This window comes from Homo sapiens, chromosome 6, assembly GCF_000001405.40.
Source record: "Homo sapiens chromosome 6, GRCh38.p14 Primary Assembly".
Taxonomy (NCBI): domain Eukaryota; kingdom Metazoa; phylum Chordata; class Mammalia; order Primates; family Hominidae; genus Homo; species Homo sapiens.
This window is the reverse complement of record NC_000006.12, coordinates 78245425-78267625: the sequence shown is the minus strand read 5'-3', so window position 1 is coordinate 78267625 and position 22201 is coordinate 78245425. Positions and strand designations below refer to the sequence as shown.

Below are 22201 nucleotides of genomic sequence, written 5' to 3'. Positions count from 1 at the left end.
GTTTTTGGTTTTTTTTTTTTCGGCATTTTGGCACATTTGGCATAATGAATTGTCAATGACTCCCTGACCCCTAGAAATAACTTTGGCCACATGATTAATTGAAGATCACAGGCCTCTTTATGATGCAAACACCCTGAAGGGATAAATCACGTGTCCTATCTCTCAACCTAAAGCCCAGCACACAGTATTTTAAAAACTGTTCAACAAATGAGAGATGTGCCACGGAAGACCTCATCCAGGAGGTTTGATGTTCAGAGCACTAGTCCTGAGTTTTAATATTAGTTATGCCGTTGATCTGCCTTTCAGGTCTTTGTGAAGTCATTTAGTGTTCTTGTTTTAATTTTATCCATACATTTGGGATAACATTACCCATAGGATAATACATAAAAGGCTTTGAGAAAAGTTAAAGTACTAAATGTTTGTACAGATCTAGCTAATCGTGTAAATGCAGCCTTTCATTCCTTCTGTGTCTGCACCTACCAAATGAGAGAACTAAACTACATATTGTACTCTTCACTCTCTCTATTAGAACAGTCTCCTGTTCTAACTACAACTTTTCCAAATTGCTGAACCAGAGACAGGGTTATATGACCTTATTTATCCTTTTTAAAATTATTAATAGTAGTGATTACCAACGCACACTTTTTTTTTAGTAAAATAACTTTTTATTTGACATCTACAAGATTTTGGCATCTTGCAGCTTTTGGTTTATACAATCTTGATTTTTCAATAAAAAGAAAGAAAGAAAAGGAAATAAAAATACCAACTGCTCCCTCACTTGTTTTATAAACATCTATTATAGGCAAAACAAAACTTACCCATATTATATAGATAAGTGTCTATTCACATTTGTACATTACCATTTTTAACAGCTTGAGATAAACTCTACAATGTCTTACAACACTTTAAACAATATTCAAGTTACTGGGTAACAACATAACAATAACAAAGAAACATACAGCGGAAGCCTCAAGTGTTTCCTCATTGTCTACAACTCAACTACGGTTTCCTTTATATGAGTGACAAAGCAAATTAAGATTATATATATATATATTATATATATATATTTTTTTTTAAATCACACTCTTCAAAACAAAATGACATTTCCTCAAATCTATACTAATTTTTAGTTGTGGCAGATAAGTAAAACCTACTAGATTTTCATTCTCCCACTTTACAGAGTTTGTGAAATCTGATTTTATTCATAGAAACTACTTGATGAAGAGTCACATATATATATATATATATTTTTTTTTTTTTTTTTTTTTTTTTTGAGACAGAGTCTCACACTGTCACCCAGGCTGGAGTGCAATGGCGTGATCTCTGCTCACTGCAACCTCTGCTTCCCAGGTTCATGCGATCCTCCTGCCTCAGCCTCCCAAATAGCTGGGATTACAGGTGTATACCACCATAACCGGCTAATTTTTTGTATTTTTAGTACAGATGGGTTTAACTATGTTGGCTTGACTGATCTCGACCTCCTGACCTCGTGATCCACCCCCTTCGGCCTCCCAAATTGCTGGGATTACAGGTGTGAGCCACGGCACCTGGCCAAGTCATTAATATTTAAAAGAAAGAACATATGTGGTAATTAATAAAGTTTATATTTTTAAGATAATTTAAAAAGCCAATTAACGCATCAGTAGTTTCCAAAGAGTTTGGAACTCAGTCTAAGGGAGATGATTATGAAGACTTAGTAGAAGGAAAAATAAACTAAGCTGTTTATATGCTATGTAAGAAAACAAAAGAATCACAAACAAATAAAAAGGAGAGGTGTTATATACCACTATTACTGTTAAGATAATTCTGTTTTTGACTTCTCTCAGTAATGAAGATATAAATTTTTGGTTTAAAAAGCATGTATTGATTTCTCTTTCATTGACTAAGAGGTGTAGAAAATGTCTTATTCTTGTGTGATTGAAATGAGATTTAAAACATGAAGTTGACAACTAGTAACAAGATGAATGGATTTTCTTTGAATAGCACGTTCTGGGAATGATCACTCACTCATGTCTCTGTGGGTGATATGAGAGACATTAAGTCTTCTAGCAAGTGTGGTTTTCTGATGATGCTTTGGGTAAATGTTGAAGCTTTCTTTTCACTGAAATTGTGTGGCATAATCTATTTGAATTGTTTTGATCTTTGTGAAAATTTTTCTGTATAGCATTCCTTTATTGTAAATATGAAAAGAACTTTGGGCCTGAAGAGAATTGTCTTGCACAATATGGTCATCCAGACATCGATATATCGCATCTCAAAAAACAGCTAGATTTGTACTTTGAGAAGGATCACCTTCAATTTCCCCTGGGAAATGTGTCCTTTCTGCTAAAAATGAAGTACATTGGGTTTTGATAGACCCCTTACTAGAGAACAGAAGAGTCAGGCACTGAGACAAATCTTGGATCATATCTAATGGGCTGAACAGTGGTGCCTCCTGCTGTTGATTCTCTAAGGATCCTCACAAATTGTTAAACAGGGAAATAGACTCTGGCAATGGATTTTTGAGGATGTAGGTATGATTATAAATAGCCAAAAGCATTCCTCCCAGCATTCCTTTTCACCAGGGTAACTTATTTTGCTTTTATTGAGTACTGCTTTTTTTGTTCCTGTTTTCTTCTAATAAATGTGGAAAAGCATTGTGGAAGGAGTTTGGTATGTGTGCTAGGGAGACCTTTATTTGAATTCCTGGATTTATCATATATATACAGTGTAAATGCTTTGATGTTTAGTTTCCTCATGTGTAAAATGGAAGGAATGATAGCACATTCCACATAGGCTACTGCTTGGATTAAATAATGTGTTGAATATAAAGAGTTTAGCGTTTTGGTGGCACAGGAAGAGCATGCAATAAATATTCATTAACATAATCCTTCTGAAAATATACATTTTCAATCCTTATTTGGTTCTGGATGAGAGAAGATAGATTAACATTTTCAACCATAAATTTAGCTTTGTGAGTGAGACATTAAGGCTACTTTTTTTTTTTTTTTGTCACTGCCTGAATTCTCTATATCGGTTTGCCCACATTGAAAAGCTGAAGTCTACCCATGCTTGAAGCCTTAGATTAAATGCCTTTTTCTGTGTTGTTTGACTAAGCTAGGTTAAATTTTCCATTATGGAGGCTCTCAAAATGATCTATACTTCTTCAAAGCATTCAACACATTTGTAATTAATTGTACAATTTACTTTTTTCTGCAATATCAGCTCCATTGGGACAGGAAACTCTTTCTAGTCAACCAATGTATCAGCAAGGCCTAACATATTAGGAGCTGGCAATGATATTTGTTGAGTCCGTGTATTTAAAAGGACAATGTCAAGGCATCTGCTTTTCTGCTATTCATTTGTTGATTCAAAGGTTTTAGAGTGATGTCTTGTACATCCTGCCTTCTGCTTTCTACTTGTATATCCTGCCTTCTGTGAATCGAAGAAAATGACAAGACAAGTCTTAATCATTTTTGGAGATTTATTTGCCAAAGTTAAGGACACGCCCAGGAGTCAGGTCTATGCCTTTCTCTTAAGATGATTTTGAGGGCTCCAAATTTAAAGGGGAAAGGGCAGGATATTGAGAAGCACACAGTTTTCACTTAAAAGGGGCAAAGGAAAAATGTGGGAAATCTGCATTTTACATTACACAAATAAAATGGGGTAGGGGAACAATCTGATATGCATTTGTGTCTGGCAGGCTGAGTGACTGCACCTATAAAGATAAGCTATCAATTAGCATTGCCATGGTGAAGTTTTAACAGCTCATCAGGAATTTCCTTGTTGGCAAAATATGGGAAAGGTGAGTAGCTTTGCATCTTGTAGCCATTTTATTTAGGAACTGAAAGGTGGAGGCAGGTTTGCATGATCCAGTTCACAGCTTGACTTTTCCCTTTGGCTAAATGAGTTTTGAATCCCAAAATTTAATTTCCTTTCACACTTCTCATCCTGTTTCTTCCACTAGCTCGAGAAATTCCTCTTTATCTCAACCGTTGTAAGCAGATGAGCCTTTAGCACAAGGATGCTTCTGTTCTCATTGTAGAGAGAGCCTCCCAAGGTCTGTTGACCAGTCATATATCAAAATCTGCCTATCTGAGCATCTTTTCATCTCATCACCATTTCTCCCTGATGTTCTTGCCAAGGTCTTGTTTTTTAGTTGTCAATGTAATTGAAAATGTGTCAGGGAAAACAACATGGACTAAAAGTCAAAATTCTCTCTATATCCTCCACATCTGACTCCTGAAAGTTAAGAAAAAAAAAAAAAAGCTATGTCTTAATGATTAGGTCCTCTCCATTTGAAAGAACATGTGGACCACACACACTCTCTGGGCAGATGTAGCCTGAATTGTTGTAGAAGACCATTAAAGTCAGTTCTACAAACATGCTCATCATCACTATGGTTTGCAATCATGTATGAGGCATAAACCTAGAGAATAATTTTCTAGATTCTAGATACTTTTTTAGGAATTTCCTCCTTACTCTCAGAACATACAGCTCTTTACCTTTAGAGGAAGAATTTAGAAGTGGTTGTGTGGCAAGGGGTGTTAAAATGCATGATGAGCAAGAGATCACTGTGAAAATCCAAGCCAGTCTAGGTAAGATTAATGCTTTAATAAATGTCTTACCTTTTTGCAGATTACAGACCGACTTCCTTATCTTTGCTGTGTTCAAAATGCTTAGCTCCCCCACACCTAGGAAAAACATCGCCACTAATAACCTTGTTCTTTTCACTGAGGTTGAGGAAGGAACTAAGCTTTAGTTCCTTCTAGAACTTGTTGATCACTTTCATTAGAACTGTCCCTTCATATTTAGCATCAGGTAGTGAGGAGACTATATTGTAGAGAATAAATGTTATTTTTTCTTCCTTATTTATACTTATCAGTCAGATTTTACGATGCTGGGAGAAGAAAAGAGTGGAAAACTGGCTAAATTGGAAGTGCTTAGGACATGATAAATTCTTCCGTCTCATCTCTACCAGTTACTCTATGAATTTGGAGCTACTTCTCTGTGCTTTATTTTTCTTATCTCTAAAATGGTGATAATAGTAGTACCTATTCCATGGAATTATTCTGGTAATTAGAATTAATACTTTAGTATTAGGAATAGCTTGTGAAGCATACTAAATTCCTAGTGAATGCTACCTATCATAAGTAATATCACTAAATTACGAGAATTTCTTTTATAAAGGATTTGAGTAGCCACATGCTTACTCAGTATTGTCAGGCAAGTAATTACACAACTATAAGGGGTTTTAATGTCAAAGTCCTAACTTATTCCAGCCACGGACTAACAATTATTCTTTTATTTAATTATAAATTGTACAAACTTTTAATCTACTTATAAAAACGTTAACTGATACCAATAAGATAATTGTAAGGTAATATTTAAAAGAACTCATTTTAGCCAACACCTTTACAGTGCTTATAGTGTGTCAAACACTTATAAGTGCTTTCAAACATTAACTCATTTAATGCTCAAAACAGCACTGTAATAATTTTTATTATTATCCCCATTTCTCATATGTGAAAGCAGTGGTCCTGATAATTTAAGGGTCTTTCCAAAGGTCATACAATTAGTGGCAGTTAGACGGCCTAGAAAGTATTGTAAGAGACAGCATAGCAGAGTAGTTAAGAGAATGGACTCTGGAGTCACATGACCTGGGCTTGCAATCCTAACTTTGCCACTGATGTGGGGGCTCACTGATATGGTTTGGCTGTGTTCCCATTCAAATCTCAACCTAATTATATCTCCCAGAATTCCCACATGTTGTGGGCGGGACCTAGGGGGAGGTAATTGAATCATGACGGTCGGTCTTTCCCATGCTATTCTCATGATAGTTAATAAGTCTCATGAGATCTGATGGGTTTATGGGGGTTTCTGCTTTTGCTTCTTCCTCATTTTCTCTTGCTGCTGCCATGTAAGAAGTGCCTTTTGCCTCTTGCCATTATTCTGAGGCCTCCCCAGCCATGTGGAACTGTAAGTCTAATGAAACCTCTTTTTGTTCCCAGTTTCGGGTATGTCTTTATCAACAGCATGAAAATGAACTAATACAGTAAATTAGTACCAGTAGTGTGGGGTGTTGCTGAAAAGATACCTGAAAATGGGGAAGCGACTTTGGAACTGAGTAACTGGCAGAGGTTAGAACATTTTTGAGGGCTCAGAAGAAGACAAGAAAATGTGGGAAAGTTTGGAACCTCCTAGAGATTTGTTGAATGGCTTTGACAAAAATGCTGATAGAGATATGAAAAATAAGGTCCAGATTGAGGTGGTGTCAGATGGAGATGAGGAACTTGTTGGGAACTGGAGCAAAGGTGACTCTTACTGTTTTAACAAAGAGACTGGCAGCATTCTGCCCCTACTCTAGAGATTTGTGGAACATTGAACTTGAGACAGATGATTTAGGGTATCTGGTGGAAGAAATTTCTAAGCAGCAAAGCATTCAAGAGGTTACTTGGGTACTGTTAAAAGCATTCAATTTTAAAATGGAAATGGGGCCAGTCGCAGCTCATGCCTGTAATCCCAGCATTTGGGACGCCAAGGCGGGCAGACCATGAGGTTAGAAGATCGAGATCATCCTGGCTAACATGGTGAAACCCCGTCTCTACTAAAAATACAAAAAATTAGCTAGGTGTGGTGGCACGTGCCTATAGTCCCAGCCACTTCGGAGGCTGAGGCAGGAGAATCGCTTAAACCTGGGAGGTGGAGGTTACAGTGAGCCAAGATCATGTCACTGCACTGCAGCCTGGGCAACAGAGCAAGACTTCATCTCAAAAAAAAAAAAAAGGGAAACTGAGCATAAAAGTTCAGAAAATTTCCAGAATGATGATGCAGTAGAAAAAAAAAAACTCATTTTTTGAGGAGAAATTCAAGCCAGATGCAGAAATTTGCATAAGTGGCAAGGAGCCTAATGTTAATCCCCAAGACCATGGGGAAAATGTCTCCAGACCATGTCAGAGACCATCATGGCAGCCCCTTCCATCACAGGCCCAGAGGCCCAGGAGGAAAAAGTGGTTTTGTGGGCTGGGCCCAAGGTCCCTGTGCTGTGTGCAGCCTAGGAACTTGGTGCCTTGTGTCCCAGCCACTCCAGCTGTGGCTGAAAGGGGCCAACGAACGTACAGCTTGGGTTTAAGAGGGTGGAAGCCCCAAGCCTTGACATGTTCCACGTGGTGTTGATCCTGTGGATGCACAGAAGTCAAGAATTGAGGTTTGGGAACTTCTGCCTAGGTTTCAGAAGATGTATGGAAACACCTGGACACACAGGCAGAAGTGTGCTGCAGGGGTGGAGCACTCATGGAGAACCTCTACTAGGGCAGTATGGAAGGGAAATATGGGGTTGGAGCTCCCACACAGATACCCTACTGGACTAGTGGAGCTGTGAGAAGAGGGCCACCACCCTCCAGACCCCACAAACAGCTTGCACTGTTAACCTGGAAAAGCCACAGGCACTCAACACCAGCCCATTAAAGCAGCTGGGTGGGAGGCTATATCCTGAAAAAGCCACAGGAGCAGAGCAGCCCAAGACTATGGGAATGCACCTGTTGCATCAGCATGACCTGGATGTGAGACCTAGAGTCAAAGGAGATTATTTTGATGCTTTAAAATTTGCCCCACTGGATTTCGGACTTGCATGGGCCCTGTAACCCCTTTGTTTTGGCCAATTTCTCCCATATGGAATGGCTGTATTTGCCCAATACCTGTACCCCTATTGTATGTAGGAAGTAACTAGCTTGTTTTGATTTTACAGGCTCATAGGTTGAAGGGGCTTGCCTTGTCTCAGATTAGACTTCAGACTGTGGACTTTTGGGTTAATTCTGAAATGAGTTAAGACTTTGGGGGACTGTTGGGAAGGCATGATTGGTTTTGAAATGTGAGGACATGTGATTTGGAGGGGCTGGGGTGGAATGATATGGTTTGTCTGTGTTCCCATTCAAATCGCAACTGAATTGTGTCTTCCAGAATTCCCATGTGTTGTGGGAGGGACCTAGGGGGAGGTAATTGAATCATGGGGGCCAGTCTTTCCTGCACTATTCTCATGATAGTGAATAAGTCTCACGAAATCTGATGGGTTCATCAGGGGTTTTCGCTTTTGCTTCTTCCTCATTTTCTCTTGCTGACACCATGTAAGAAGTACCTTTTGCCTCCCACCATGACTCTGAGGTCTCCCCAGCCATGTGGAACTGTAAGTCCAATGAAACTTCTTTTTGTTCCCAGCTTTGAGTATGTCTTTATCAGTAGCATGAAAACGAACTAATACATTCACCAAATGGGGAAAATAAGCCACATGATATCAACAGCTCTTGGATTCACCTTCTTAAAATAATTATTATTTTTAAAAGTAATTATAATTTAATGAGGAACTATAATGAATTAGCTAGAGAAACTTAAGTGCATGTGGAATAATCTTCAATGAGCAGTAAAATTTGCTGTCAAGATTCCAATAGTAGATATCCCAACACAGGGCAGCTAAATACAGAGATACCTTGCAGCCTTACTTTTACATTGTACTTGTCATTAACTTTAATTTTGATACATCATTTTGAAAGAACTACAGCAACCATGATGGTATTAGATATACTAAAAATCTGTGTTGGTTATGGGTAGCTGGCCAATAATATTCATACTATAAATATAGTCTGGTTACAAGGAGAGGAGAGTCTATGATTGAAACAGATAGACACATTCTATTGCCTAAATTCTAAATATTTTATTAGTTGAAGATTATTTCAAGGCACAGAATCTATCAGAAGAAATAACTCAAGATACATAAAAATAAAAGGGAGCTGAAAACTCTGAAAAGTTGGGTAAAGGAGATGGATTCTGTAATCCAGTTTCTGCCCCTTGAATGATAAAAGAGTTTTAGAAACAACATTTATCATTACAACTGGATATCACTGATTAGTATATGAATATGGACTTATAATTGAATTTTACTTACATAAACAATACAAAATTCAAGGGAAATAGGAATAATTTTAAAGTATATTCCAATAGTACTTTAAATTACTATGTGGTGTTAATTGGAATATTTGGCTTTATGATAGAGATAAATAAAATAATAAGTGGAAAATTAGAATTTTGAGTTCTACAATAAGAAAAAAGGTACAGACTACAGTGAAGTCACTGACATTTTTTTGTGACCAGAAACTTTCCAGTGTTCTTGAATAGAGAGCTGAAATAGTTACCAATATCAAAGTTTCTATCACAGAGGAAAACGAAGTTCAGCTGCCTTTCATCTCCTAGTCCTGATTAAACAACAACAACAATAACAACAACAAAAAATATAGTTAAGGCAAAGGAAGCAAGGAGCAAGGAGGTGGGGAGTGATGGAAATCAGCTTGGAGTGGGTAGGGTAAGGCTTAAAGATATGCTTAGGAACATCTGAAATAAAACCAATCAGCCCTTGCAGCATTTATTTTATTGTTGCAAAAGTTTCTAGAAAGGCATAATTAATAGGAATTATTCAAACCAAGTTTATCACAAACACATTTGGACAGTCAACCATATTTTATTAAGTATTGCAGGTAATAATGACTACAACTACTGTCATTTACTAAATCCTTACCCTGTGTCAGATATTTTGTTAAGTATGCACTTCACTAACATTATGTGATTTAATATGCACAATAACCATAAGAATTTGACACTTGACACTTTAAAAAATTATTTTGAAGATGAGGAAACTATGCTTTAAAACTTTTAAACTGTTAGTCATAGTTTTAAATTTATTCCCTGATAATTTTAACATCGGGGTCTTTTCTGACTCTAATTGATATGATTGCTTTTTCTAAGTGGGTTATTTTTTCCTTATTTTTTTCTGTTTTAATACTGAATCCTAGACATGAAGGAAAAGTACAGTCGAGACTGAAGTAAATAGCATTTTTGCATAGAAATATGCACATCGCAGCCAGGCACTATGGCTCACGCCTATAATCCCACTGTTTGGGGAAGTCAAAGCAGGTGGATCCCTTGAGCCCAGGAGTTCAACACCAGACTGGGCAACATGGCAAAATCTCGTCTCTACAAAAAATACAAAAATTAGCCAGGCATGTTGGTATACACCTGTAGTCCCAGCTTCTTGGGAGGCTAAAGTGAGAAGATTGTTTGAGCCCAGGAGGTTGAGGCTGCAGTGAGCTGAGATCATGCTACTGCACTCCAGCCTAGGCAATAGAACAAGACCCTGTCTCAAAAAAAAAAAAGAAAAAGAAAAAGAAAAAAGAAAAAGAAAAAGATAAAGAAAAATGAAAGAAAGATGCACATCTCTTCTGCCAGTGTGTTTATGTGGAGACTGGAGTCAACCTAGTCATGAGTTTAGCTGATTTGGGATTTTGCTGTTACTATGGTTACCTTCAGTGTACAACCAGTTTAAAATTCTTTTAGCAATACCGTAGGGTGAAAATCAGATTACCAGAGTGTTTTTCTTAATGTCCCTTATCTACCCTCAACATTTGGCCTTCCCTTTTGCTCTTGCACCTGACAACGGATCTTGTCATGTTCTTATTCTCTCCAGTAGTAGACTGTTAGTGCTTATTACTTGGTGTTCGTGATCTTGGTGTTAGGGGGCAAAAGGATTTTTTTCTTATTTTTGTACCATTTCAAAACTTAGGCAAGCTTGGTCTTAATGTTGATATTTTCTTAGTAAATCTGCCGATAGAAGCCAAATTTTGCTGTGAATCTTTACTAGGTCTTGTATGGGAGACTTCCCTGCCCCTCCCCTAGTGGTAGGAGACATATAATGAACTTGGTCCAGGACAGTTTCCTACCCCTACCTCAGGGATAGATATTTTGTTTTTTTCTTGTACCTTCCCTAGCTTCATCTTCATCTGTGCCCTGGGGGTGATGGTTTGTGCTGCCCTTACCCCAGCAATTTAAGGCTTTTGTTCCATAGAGGAGAAGGTCTTACATGGGGATTTATGCTTGTTTGTGTAGCGATGAATGCTCTCCTTATCCAAGTCTGCACCACTGTTAGAGGATTTCTGTATCCAATCATGCTCCCATTAGAAGTCTGTGGAGAATAGCCTGCAAGTATTATGAAGACCCCTGATATCCATGCCTCCCAGCGGTTCTATACTCTTATGCTAGCCCATACTTGAGCTTTTTCAGATAAAAAAAATTGATAAATTCTGCCGGGCACGGTGGCTCCCGCCTGTAATCCCAGCATTCTGGGAGGCCGAGGCGGGCGGATCACGAGGTCAGGAGATCGAGACCATCCTGGCTAATATGGTGAAACCCCGTCTCTACTAAAAATACAAAAAATTAGCCGGGCCTGGTGGCGGGCGCCTGTAGTCCTAGCTACTCCGGAGGCTGAGGCAGGAGAATGGCGTGAACCCGGGAGGCGGAGTTTGCAGTGAGCCGAGATCGCGCCACTGCACTCCAGCCTGGGCGACAGAGCGAGACTCTGTCTCGAAAAAAAAAAATTGATAAATTCTTTTTAACCACTTACAAGACAGTGATGTATTTTCCTCCTGTTCTCTGCCATATGTGTTTCAGTGTGTCTATCTCATCTGCTTGGAGACACCTGACTTTCCTTGAATTCCAAGCTAATTGGTTTCCCCAAGACCTTAGTTCTCTGACAGATTCAAGAAAAGTTATAATTTTTAAAATTTAAACTGACATTTTACTGTTATTAATGTAGGAGTAATACTCTTTCCAAGTTTCCACATTCTAGGCGTCAGTAAAAATTCCAGTTATTTCTTAAACTAATATGTTTATTTTAGGACAGGTTCTTACAGATGTAGATGATGAGTCAAAGATTTAGGTGCAAGTTATTTACTGAGCAAGTACTACCAGAAGAAACAAGTAAGAGTGAGGGAAGCAGGAAAAGGAAGGGTAGGTAAGAAGCCCAGAAAAGATACAATTTTGGTGGCATCCAAGAATGCTTAATCATTTGAGAAACTCTGGAGCATAAATTATACTTCTAAGTGTATCGTGACTTGAAGCAAAGGAGCTGAGTTTTGTATTGCAATAATAATTGGTCACTAGCTACAGGCATTCCTGAGTAGGATGTAGACTATCAAGCATATAGGACGTAGACTATCAAGCAATAAATATGTTTTATTAATTTCTGTGCACAATTACATTCTTATATTCTATGCCTTTTGCTATGGTCTGAATATTTGTTCCCTCCAGAACTCCTGTTGACAAGGGTAGAATGGAAGGAAATAAAATATCAGTCAGAGGGTACAAAAGTTCGGTTATGTGGGATGAATGAGTTCTAGAGCTCTAATGTACAGCATGGAGACCATAGTTAACAATTCTGTATTTATACTTAAATTTGCTAAGAGAATTGATCTTAAGTGTTTTCACCAGAAAAAAAAAAACACAATGAAACAAAGCATAACTATGTCAGCTGATGCATATATTAATTAGCTTGATTTTGATAATCATTTCACAGTGTATATATCAAAACATTATGCTATACACCATAAATATACACAATTTTTATTTTTATGTATACCTCAATAAAACTGTAAATAACAAATAATAAATTATCAACACCCAATATACCCAACATGTGCTGATAAGACAGGGAAAGAATAATTGCAATAGACACTTCCAATTAAAAAAAAAGAGAGAAGAAATGGAATTAGGCATATAGAAGTCACTGGTTCTTACAAATTCTGAAATATAGACATGTATACGTTGTAAGAGTCTTCTTCTCCATAGTAAGAAAACACATCCTAGTAAGGGCCCAATTATTCCTCGGCTGAATAGTTTCCTAACTATTGATCTCCTTAGTTCTTGACTTTGCCTTCCAGGTAACTGGTCTCCACGCTCTAAGATTTGTTTCATTTTCTATAATAAATGGACTGTGTTTGCAACTAAAGGGGATTCCCAGTCTGCTTCCTGACCACAGAGATTTGGGGTCCCAGAGTCTTCTTTTCATTATAAACTGTCTCTATTTCCTATGGATGAGACATTATAACTACCTTAAATATTTTGAATTTTTTGTGAATCTAATTGAGATTCCCTCCGTGTTCAAAAGCCACATCCATAACTATTTAACAAATAAACCTCTACTTACATTGGGCCATTTGTAAGGTGTTTGTGAGATAATACCCTTGAAACTCATAGAAGTTCTTTGCCTAATTGCAAGGATTTACTGATCACTATCATAAATTTCTCTGTGTGCTTAACTAAAGGTTTTATCACCACACACTTGGTTTGATTTTTATTCTAAGACCACAGCTAGAAAGTCTAGAAATATGAAATGATTTTATTTTCTAACCCAGCACATCTTGAACCTTTATATTTCCTCTAAATTCTGCTTTCCAAATGAATCATACTCCCTTTGGTTCATCTCCTCCTCTCCTATTTATTATAGACAGATACAAAAAGCCAACTGTCAATTTCATTGTTCTGTCGGGATATCACCTTGGCTATATCTACACATTCATTGCATACATTTTTTTAATCTATTTAAGTCTTAAGTTTTGCCAATAGTTTTGATCCCCACATTTTCAGACATAAATAGCAATTTCTATAGACCACCTACTACATGGTCCCAAAGCCAATGCCTAGCTTTTAGGATTTTGTTATGGCAGCACCTTGTTTCTAGTTGCCAATGTTTGTATTAATTATTAATTTCTGTGTAACAAATCATTCCAAATTTAGTGTCTGAAAACAAGTATATATTTATTTAACTTGTGTTGAGCTTATCTAAGTAGTTCTTATGCTGATCTTGCCTAGGATTACTCATATATGGCTTCAGTTATCTGAACCTTAACTGGGGTGTTTATTTCAGGGTAACCTCAATTATATGTCTGGTGGTTGGTGTTGGCTCTTGTCTGTAGCTTTTTACTTCTCTTCTATGTGGCCTCTCATCTCATAGGAGCCCAGAGTTGCTTATTCACGAGACAAAAGATTCATTCCAAGACAGAAAAGGCGGAAGTTCAAGGTCTCTTAAGGCCTAGCATAAAAAGTCACATAATATCATTCTTGTCATATTCTGTCAGTCTATGCAAATCTCAAAGCCATGCTGAATTAAAGAGGTGAAGAAATGGGAAACTCATACTATAAAAGAATGTAAAATAAGAAGGTTGTGATTCATTGGGGGCCATTATTCTAACAGAGTTTTTATTATAATGACTATATTTTCCCCAGGATTTCTAGTAGGTTCTTTTCATATGCACCTGTACTATTTTATACACATTTTCTCTGTTTTTTTTATTTCTTTTTAAAAATTGTTTATCAATGCCAAATCTTAATTTATCCTTTAAAGCAACTTAAATATATTTAATATGTTTATGAAACATTTATAATCAATTTCATATGGAATGAATTAATGTTCTAATTGTTGATTTTTGTTTGTGTGCATCTTTCTTCAGGCAATTCAGGATTTGTGTTTGCAGACTCATTTGATTGAAAAGGATCCCTCTCTTTCTCTCTCTCTGTTTCCTTTCTTTTTTCTCTTATCTCCCTCCGTCCTTCCATGTGATCTTCTATATAGAGGCTTGTTTGAACATGTTCCAGTAGAATCAGCATCTGGAATCAGGTCTCTCATTTTGGCTTTTCTGCTTTGTGGATATTGTGGATCCAGCCAGTTACAGATTCAAACTTAGTTTATTTCTTCTGTGAGGCTGTGTTTATATTTTCCCATCTCTTCAGCCCACACGATCCTATGAGTCCTTGCCACAGGTAGCCATCAGCAGCATTTGTTCTTAGTTTCTTTCTTTAAGCAATGAATCTAAATTAAACTCCAGGCATAGGAACACTTTTGGTCCGTGTTAATCCTCTGAAACTGAACCTCAGTCTGCTACAGTGTTCTCCCAAACCTGACATTCGGCAATCTTTAACTTCATTGTCTTAGCTTCTTTGTATTTTATATTCAATTTTCAGCTTTTTAAAAAGTTTATCTTTTTCTAGGGTATTGTTTGTTCTTTTGGTTTTCTCTTTAAATATTTTTTATTGCTACAATGCACAATGCAGTTAGGAGAGCACAAAACTTGTGGATTTACTACATAATTTTGCCCCATTTGCTTTTAGCACTTCCTGAAATTTAGAAAAAAAATGCAAATAAATTGCACAAATTTATAACAATGATTGAAATTTGAGTTGACGTTTCAGTGTAGAATCAAACTCCTGTCTCTTCAGTGACATTACGTCAAAATAGCATGCATTCAATGGCCTAGTGAACAAAGTTTCCAGGGCTATAGGAGTATTTTTAAAATGTTTCAAGTTGAGTTGAATAATATCACATTTTACCTTCTCAGAAATACTTTGATTTTACACCAGATGTCATATAGTACCTAATTCCACAATGTTTCTGATGAGGAAAATTCTCAGAGGAATGCAGCTATAGTGCCTAGGGCTTGAAATATAGAAGTGTAGTTATTAAAACTACATGTACCAAATAAAATCCATTCTTTTCAAACACATTCTTGTCATAAGCACTTAATTAATGCTTGGAATCAATCTGGACTTGAGGCCATATTGTATTTATCCAAAAAGGCCCATCATGTGTCAATATGACTGTGTGGTTTCAGTTTCTCGTCTGTGTTTTTTTAAATGACTCAGCTATATGGAATAACTAGCAGCTGATGGTGGAGGACTACAAGATGGTACTAAAGAGAAGATGTTTGGTTGAGAAATATAGAGTGATGGATTGTAAAACTCAATTTTGCAATAGTTAGAGAAATGAGCCACTGTCCGAGACTATTAAGAGTCCTATGCAGCCAGGCGTGGTGGCTCATGCCTGTAATCCCGGCACTTTGGGAGGCCGAGGCAGGTGGATCACAAGGTCAGGAGTTCGAAACCAGCCCAGCCAACATGGTGAAACCCTGTCTCTACTAAAAATACAAAAATTAGCTGGGCATGTCGGTGGGCGCCTGTAGTCCCAGCTACTCAGAGGTGAGGCAGGAGAATCACTTGAAACTGGAAGGCAGAGGTTGCAGTGACCCCAGATCGTGCCACTGCACTCCAGCATGAGCAAAAGAGCAAAATTCCTCTAAAAAAAAAAAATTCCTATGTAGTTCAAAGTCAAGAAATAGTTATTGGTATCCAAGTTAAATAGACAAAAGTAAACTTTTGAAGTCATTCTTGCTGGAGGGATGAGACGGTACAGTGCAAGAGGTAGGAAAAGATACATAGTAATCAGGTACATATCAGATCAGATTTTTCTTCTATCTATTACTTAGCTAGGTGAAATTGGACATGACACAAACACTGTAAACCTCATTTTACTAATCTATAAAATAAAGATCATAATATTTCATGCATCTCAAAGCTGTGGTAATAATTAAAGTGGATAATGTACACCAAATGACTAGCATGTAATAAGTGCTTCATAAATGTAGTACTTATTATCAAGTATCATGACTTTAAATAGACAGGTTAAATTTAACATTCAAGAGATTAGCTGCAATAGGAGTAGTGAACAAGCAGGTAGTAGATTTCAAATTGTCTAGATATATTCCATGGATAAGCAGAAAAAAACATTTACACAATTATATACACAGACACAGTGGCACAGCAATGAGCAATGTAATGATTGTTAATCATAGGAAAGTGGCAAATTGCCTATTGCAATTTACCCTTTATTATCTGTTCTTGTGATTGAACTAAATGTAAGTGGTATCCTCGAGCAAGAGAGACGGTAGCCTTTTTTACTTTCGTAGGTTTTTCCCTTGTCAGAATACAGAAGAAAAGCTGGGTTTTCCTAAAATGTGTTCAGGGTAGGCTGCTTTCTATCTTACTAAAATTCATAAAGTGGTAAAGAAGTTGGAGGAATATAAATTTTCTATTCTCCTATCCATATTTTAAGAAATGCTGAGTTGGAAACATTTATTGGCATGGTAATATCAACAAATTTGCAGGTTTGTAATTACACACATATTACTAAAATTATATTAGTAGATGTGCAGATATTCAGAAGCTTTAACAAAAAATTCCAGAATTTAGAGCTTTCTGAATAATCTAACATTTTCTTACCATTTGTACCTCAGATTGTTTTCTTTTGGTAATATAACAAAATACTTATTGCAAGTGTACCACCCCCTGAGAGTAAATATTCAGTCCCTGCTTCAAGATTTTAAAAGATGCAGTACTTTCCTGTGCTTCCTCTTCCACAGGAACATTCGCAGTGGGGAGGTTGATAAAACATTCTCTATATAGGCTTCCTGGAGTTTCTCAAGCCACTAGTAACCCTTTGTTATATATGCAGGATTTCTTCTGTTAGAAATATTGAGCTTTCTCTTGAGGCATTGATTACTATTCTTATTGTTTCATTCTCTAGTGAATGGATACCCTAGGTTTATAGATCTAACATTCAGCCTGTTGAATTCTATTACTTTTATAGCGTAGTTTTACAAATGTATGTTCTGGGCATATACTTCTAATTGTCTAATAATGAAGTTTATCCTACTTTTTATTTTTAATTTTGGATATATAATGTTGTATCTCTCTTGTGGCTGGCTATCTGATAAATTTCAGAATGTATTGGAGATACTCTGGGGGTTAGGTAAATTATTCTTACTTCAAAAAGACAAGTCTTGGCTGGGCATGGTGGCTCACACCTGTAATCCCAGCACTTTGGGAGGCCAAGGTGGGTGGATCACCTGAGGTCAGGAGTTCAAGACCAGTCTGGCCAACATGGTGAAACCCCATCTCTACTAAAAATACAAAAATTAGCTGGGCATGGTGGTGCATGCCTATAATCGCAGCTAATCGGAGGCTGAGGCAGAAGAACGGCTGGAACCTAGGAGGCAGGTGCTGCAGTAAGCCAAAATCGTGCCACTGCACTCCAGCCTGAGCTCCATCTCAAACAACAGCAACAACAACAACAACAACAATAAAAAAAGACTGAGACTCCACCTCAAAAACGAAAACAAACAAACAAGTCTTGATTGTCTGATGTCTCCTCATAATGCAAAATCACTCAATTTCTACCATGATGATTTTATTTTGAAGTATAACTGTGAAATACATAATTCTAGATGAAATATAATTAGTTCCAAAACCTCTTTGAGCATTCTTAACTTTTAAATGACCTCTACATATAATCACTAGGGATACTTAGATAATATATACATACATTGTAAGTGGAAGATATCATTCTTATGAAATATATTTATTGGATTTACTGATAAAAAGTACATTTTTGCTTTTTTATACTCTTGCATTCTACAGTCTCAGCATATTCAGGTATTCATATTTGGAGTCTTCTCAAAGGATTGTCAGTAGAGAGTTGTGCTTCTATTTATGATGTCCTACAAGAGAATATCACTCCCACCTTAATTGGCAAGAAGAAAAGGCCAGATAATCTTCAAAATTATCACATTTTTTGACATATCAGAGCTCAGATCTCAAGGCAATCAGGTGGACTAAATTCCAGAATGGCAGGCCATTCTGAGGAGAGAGAGAACAGACGAATGTTTCACCTTTGGCAAAACATGGGACAAAAACACTGTACAAGCAGGAAAGAGGAAACAATTACATTTCAGTACTTTATTAGAAGTTGATTGTGGGCTAGCATGACGATTTAGAACCTTTGAGAACTCCAGACCCAGTGAAAGTGTGCATTCATTTGCCATGTACTTTTCATAAGCCTCCACTATATACTCATGAGGAAGATTAGAGGCAGGGAAGGAAAAAGAGTGTGGGCACAAAACCTTGCCTATGTCTTGAGCTCTTTTATTATATGAATTAAAAGCCTCAAGCAACTTGGGAATAGAAGGCAGGCAAAGATCCATTGTTCAGAGGGGAAGGGGTCGAAGCAAGTCATCTGTTGCTGGGGAAGGAAAAAAGAGAGGGAAAGAAAATCCCACGAGCTGTATGCTCAGTGTAGTCTACTTTTGTGGGAAGACCAACAAATCCTTCTGATCCTGGTCCCATGCAAAGGTATATTGCCACCTAGAGAGCAGGAAAATCTATCTGCCCCTGAGAGAGAAGCTTGGACCCAGAATGCTGTACTGATACCAACCAATACTGCTATGACTGAGGGAAGGATAGAAAATGTTCTCTCTTCTGAGACCCTCCACACACGCAATAAAGAGTTTGGTTGAATTAGGGAGAAGAGCCAGGTACACAGGGCCTGGTGAACAGGGTCTGATTTAGAATAAGTCCAGACCGGGAGAACCGGGAACTACCAACGGTTTCTATCATGATTTTTTCACATATAAAATATAACAGTGAACTGCCAATGAGGAGGAGCAAGATTGCAGAGAGAACCTTCTGTGATTTGGGCACAGAGGTCCTGCTGAAAACTGGTGGAGCAGGAATGCTGAGAAAAATTCTTGGGCAAACTAGAAGTAACATTAAGCACAACGTTACAGCATTCTATTTCTGGAGGATCCTGGAAATTTGTGATGGTCTGAAGGAAGCTGTAGTAACAATTTCCAAAAGCAACTCCACAAAGTATTGGGTGGACTTAACCTGTCACACTAATGGCTGACAGAAGAACATAATTAGACACACGTGGTGTCTATAGTATATACTTACATACTATCATATTCATATGATAAGGCTAACATAACAAAATATCATAGATTTGTAGCTTAAACCGCAGACATTTATTTTCTCACAGTTCTGGAGTCTGGAAGTCCAAGATCAGGATGTCAGCAGGACAAAAATGGGATGCTCTGCTCCAGGCCTTTCTCTTTGGCTTGCAGATGGCTGCTCACTTGGTTACTCTTCGCACGCTTATCTCACTGCTCCCGTGTGTCTCTGTTGTCCCCTTTTATATCAAAATTCTCTTTCAAAAATAAGGACAAATCGATTGTTTTAGAACCATACAAATAGCTTAATGTTAACTTAACTAACTCTTTAAAGTTAATTGTCCAGAATGTCAGACACATTCTCAGGTACTAGGGGTTACCACTTCAACATATGAAGTTTAGGGCAAGACAATTCAGCCCTTAACAACAATTATGTAACTTTTGCCCTCACAATTATTAAATGAGACATATATTATTATAATCATTTTACAAATGAGGAAACTAGGGCTTTGAGAAATTAAAGAAACACTTATCAATCATTCCTAAAATTTCATTTCCAAAAAATATGTTTTAAATTTTATTCCTGTTGATGCTTGTTCTTCTTTCAGTCCCTGTCACCTTTTACAACAAGTATTCTGAAATTCTATTTTAAAATTATGCTTATTATTAACCAAAGTATGCTGTATGTATGTTCAGCAAGAAAAGTGAAAGCTGAGGTAATGGGATATTATAGTAAATTAAATGGAAGAAAAAGTCTAACAATAATGTATAGTCATTATTTCATGCATTTAAAGAAGAGGTTCTTTATAACAAAACAAGATGTTTCACAAAAATATACCTCGATATTATTCTAGGTGATTTTAAAACATGTTCAAACCAATGGCCTGAGCCCAATTTGGCATGAGAGAATTCTACAGGGAATTCTGCTTTATTGACTCAATTTAATTAAACATGTTTCTTGACATTTGAAAAAAAAAATGAAAACTAAACATGCTGTCATTAGCCTACTTGGCTCTGGAGTCAGGCAGTCTCAATTAGAATCAAAGCTCTGCCTGCTATAAGTTATTTTGGGCATATTTCTTAATATCTCTAAAGCTAAATTTTAAAAAATAAATCTTAGTTACTGCATGGAATTTCTGAGAAGATTAAGCTAATTTATAAAAGCACTTGATTTTATTTTCTGGAACTCAACATATGAAAAAATTAATATTAACTAGCATTGCAACTCCAATTTCTTCTATCCCTATCATCATTACTTTTTACATCATCATCACCGTTGCATCATAATTGTCACTATCATGCCCATCATCATCACCAGTATTCATAAAATAAATATTATCATATACCCTCAAAATTTACATTTGTATGCCTGTCAGATAAGATACAATGACATTCATTCAAAAATTAGACAATAATGTGAATTATAAAGGAGTACATATAAAAATGAATCTATTAATGTGTAGAAAAATAAATAGTAAAAATTTGTATTATTTATATAAGTATAAAGCTACTGAGAGACAAAAAAGCCAAGTAATTGATTACTAGAAGAAATTATGGACATTTGTACTAAATTTGCACTAATATTAGAGGTTTTAATCTTATTAGTCATATCTAATAGTCTATTATCTAATATAGAGTATTATCTAATCATCTCTATATATGTATGTATTCTCTGTAGTTCCTCTCTCTCTCTCTCTCTATATATATATATATATATACTCTCTATATAGAGTCATATATTTATGTACTCTCTGTCTTTACAGAGAGAGAAAGAGACAGAGAGACAGAGTCAGAGAGTACAGACATTTACCTGTAGTGCAAAAAGAAGAGTTAAAGAAATCCACTGGAAATAATGGTTAACATTATAATACATGCAAAGCACTTTATACATATATACATATATATGTATATATGTATGTATTCTCTGTATGTACACTCTCTCTATATATATAATCTGTCTATATAGTCTATATATACTTATGTACTCTCTGTCTCTACAGAGGGAGGCAGAGAGAGAGAGAGAGAGAGAGAGAGACAGACAGACAGAGAGTACAGATGTTTACCTGCAATGCAAAAACAAGAGTTAAAGAAACCCACTAGACATAATGGTTAACATCATAACACATGCAAAGCACTTTATACATGCATTTAAAAGCATCAAAGAAGCTGGGCATGGTGGCTCACGCCTGTAATGTCAGCACTTTGGGAAGCTGAGGTGGGCGGATCACCTGAGGTCAGGAGTTCGAGACCAGCCTGGACAACATGGTGAAATCCTGTCCCTACTAAAAATACAAAAATTAGCCAGGCGAGGTGGCACATGCCTGTAGTCCCAGCTACTCAGGTGGTTGAGGCAGGAGAATCACTTGAACCCGGGAGGCAGAGGCTGCAGTGAGCCAAGATTGTGCCACTGCACTCCAGTCAGTCTGGGCAATAGAATGAGACTCCATCCCAAAAAAAGGCATCAAAGATAAATAATATTATTATCACTGATGCTTTTTTTAATGAGGAAAACTGTCTTAAATGCCCTTTCCAAAAGTATAGAGCTATACATAACAGAACCTGCCTCCAGAACCAGTGTTATTATCACTGTGCTCCAAAGATTAAATAAAGGCTGGCTTCTTGCAGTAAAACCATTAGTTTGGAGCATTGGATAAGAATCTACAAATTCTGTTGCTATTATTGGAGCTCAAACAACTCTCAAAACTCTTTCTTGATTCTGATGGTCTAGGAAACACCAGATAAATATTTCATGCACACCTAGATGTGGATAGCAACATATGCACCCATAA

At 36.9% G+C, this 22201-nt stretch overlaps 1 long non-coding RNA gene across 1 annotated transcript in view, besides 1 other annotated feature; it reads left to right on the top strand.

The window, feature by feature from the left end:
* LOC105377865 (uncharacterized) overlaps positions 1-22201 on the top strand; it is a 374941-nt gene that overhangs the window by 33196 nt on the left and 319544 nt on the right. The window lies entirely within an intron of this gene.
* Positions 14678-14847: an enhancer, noted in NCBI's record as "experimental_95876 CRE fragment used in MPRA reporter constructs". NCBI's record gives its function as "activates a minimal promoter by MPRAs in K562 erythroleukemia cells, with activity observed for the non-introgressed 6:78962581 variant allele {active_cell/tissue: K562}" and the evidence as "EXISTENCE:reporter gene assay evidence [ECO:0000049][PMID:34662402]".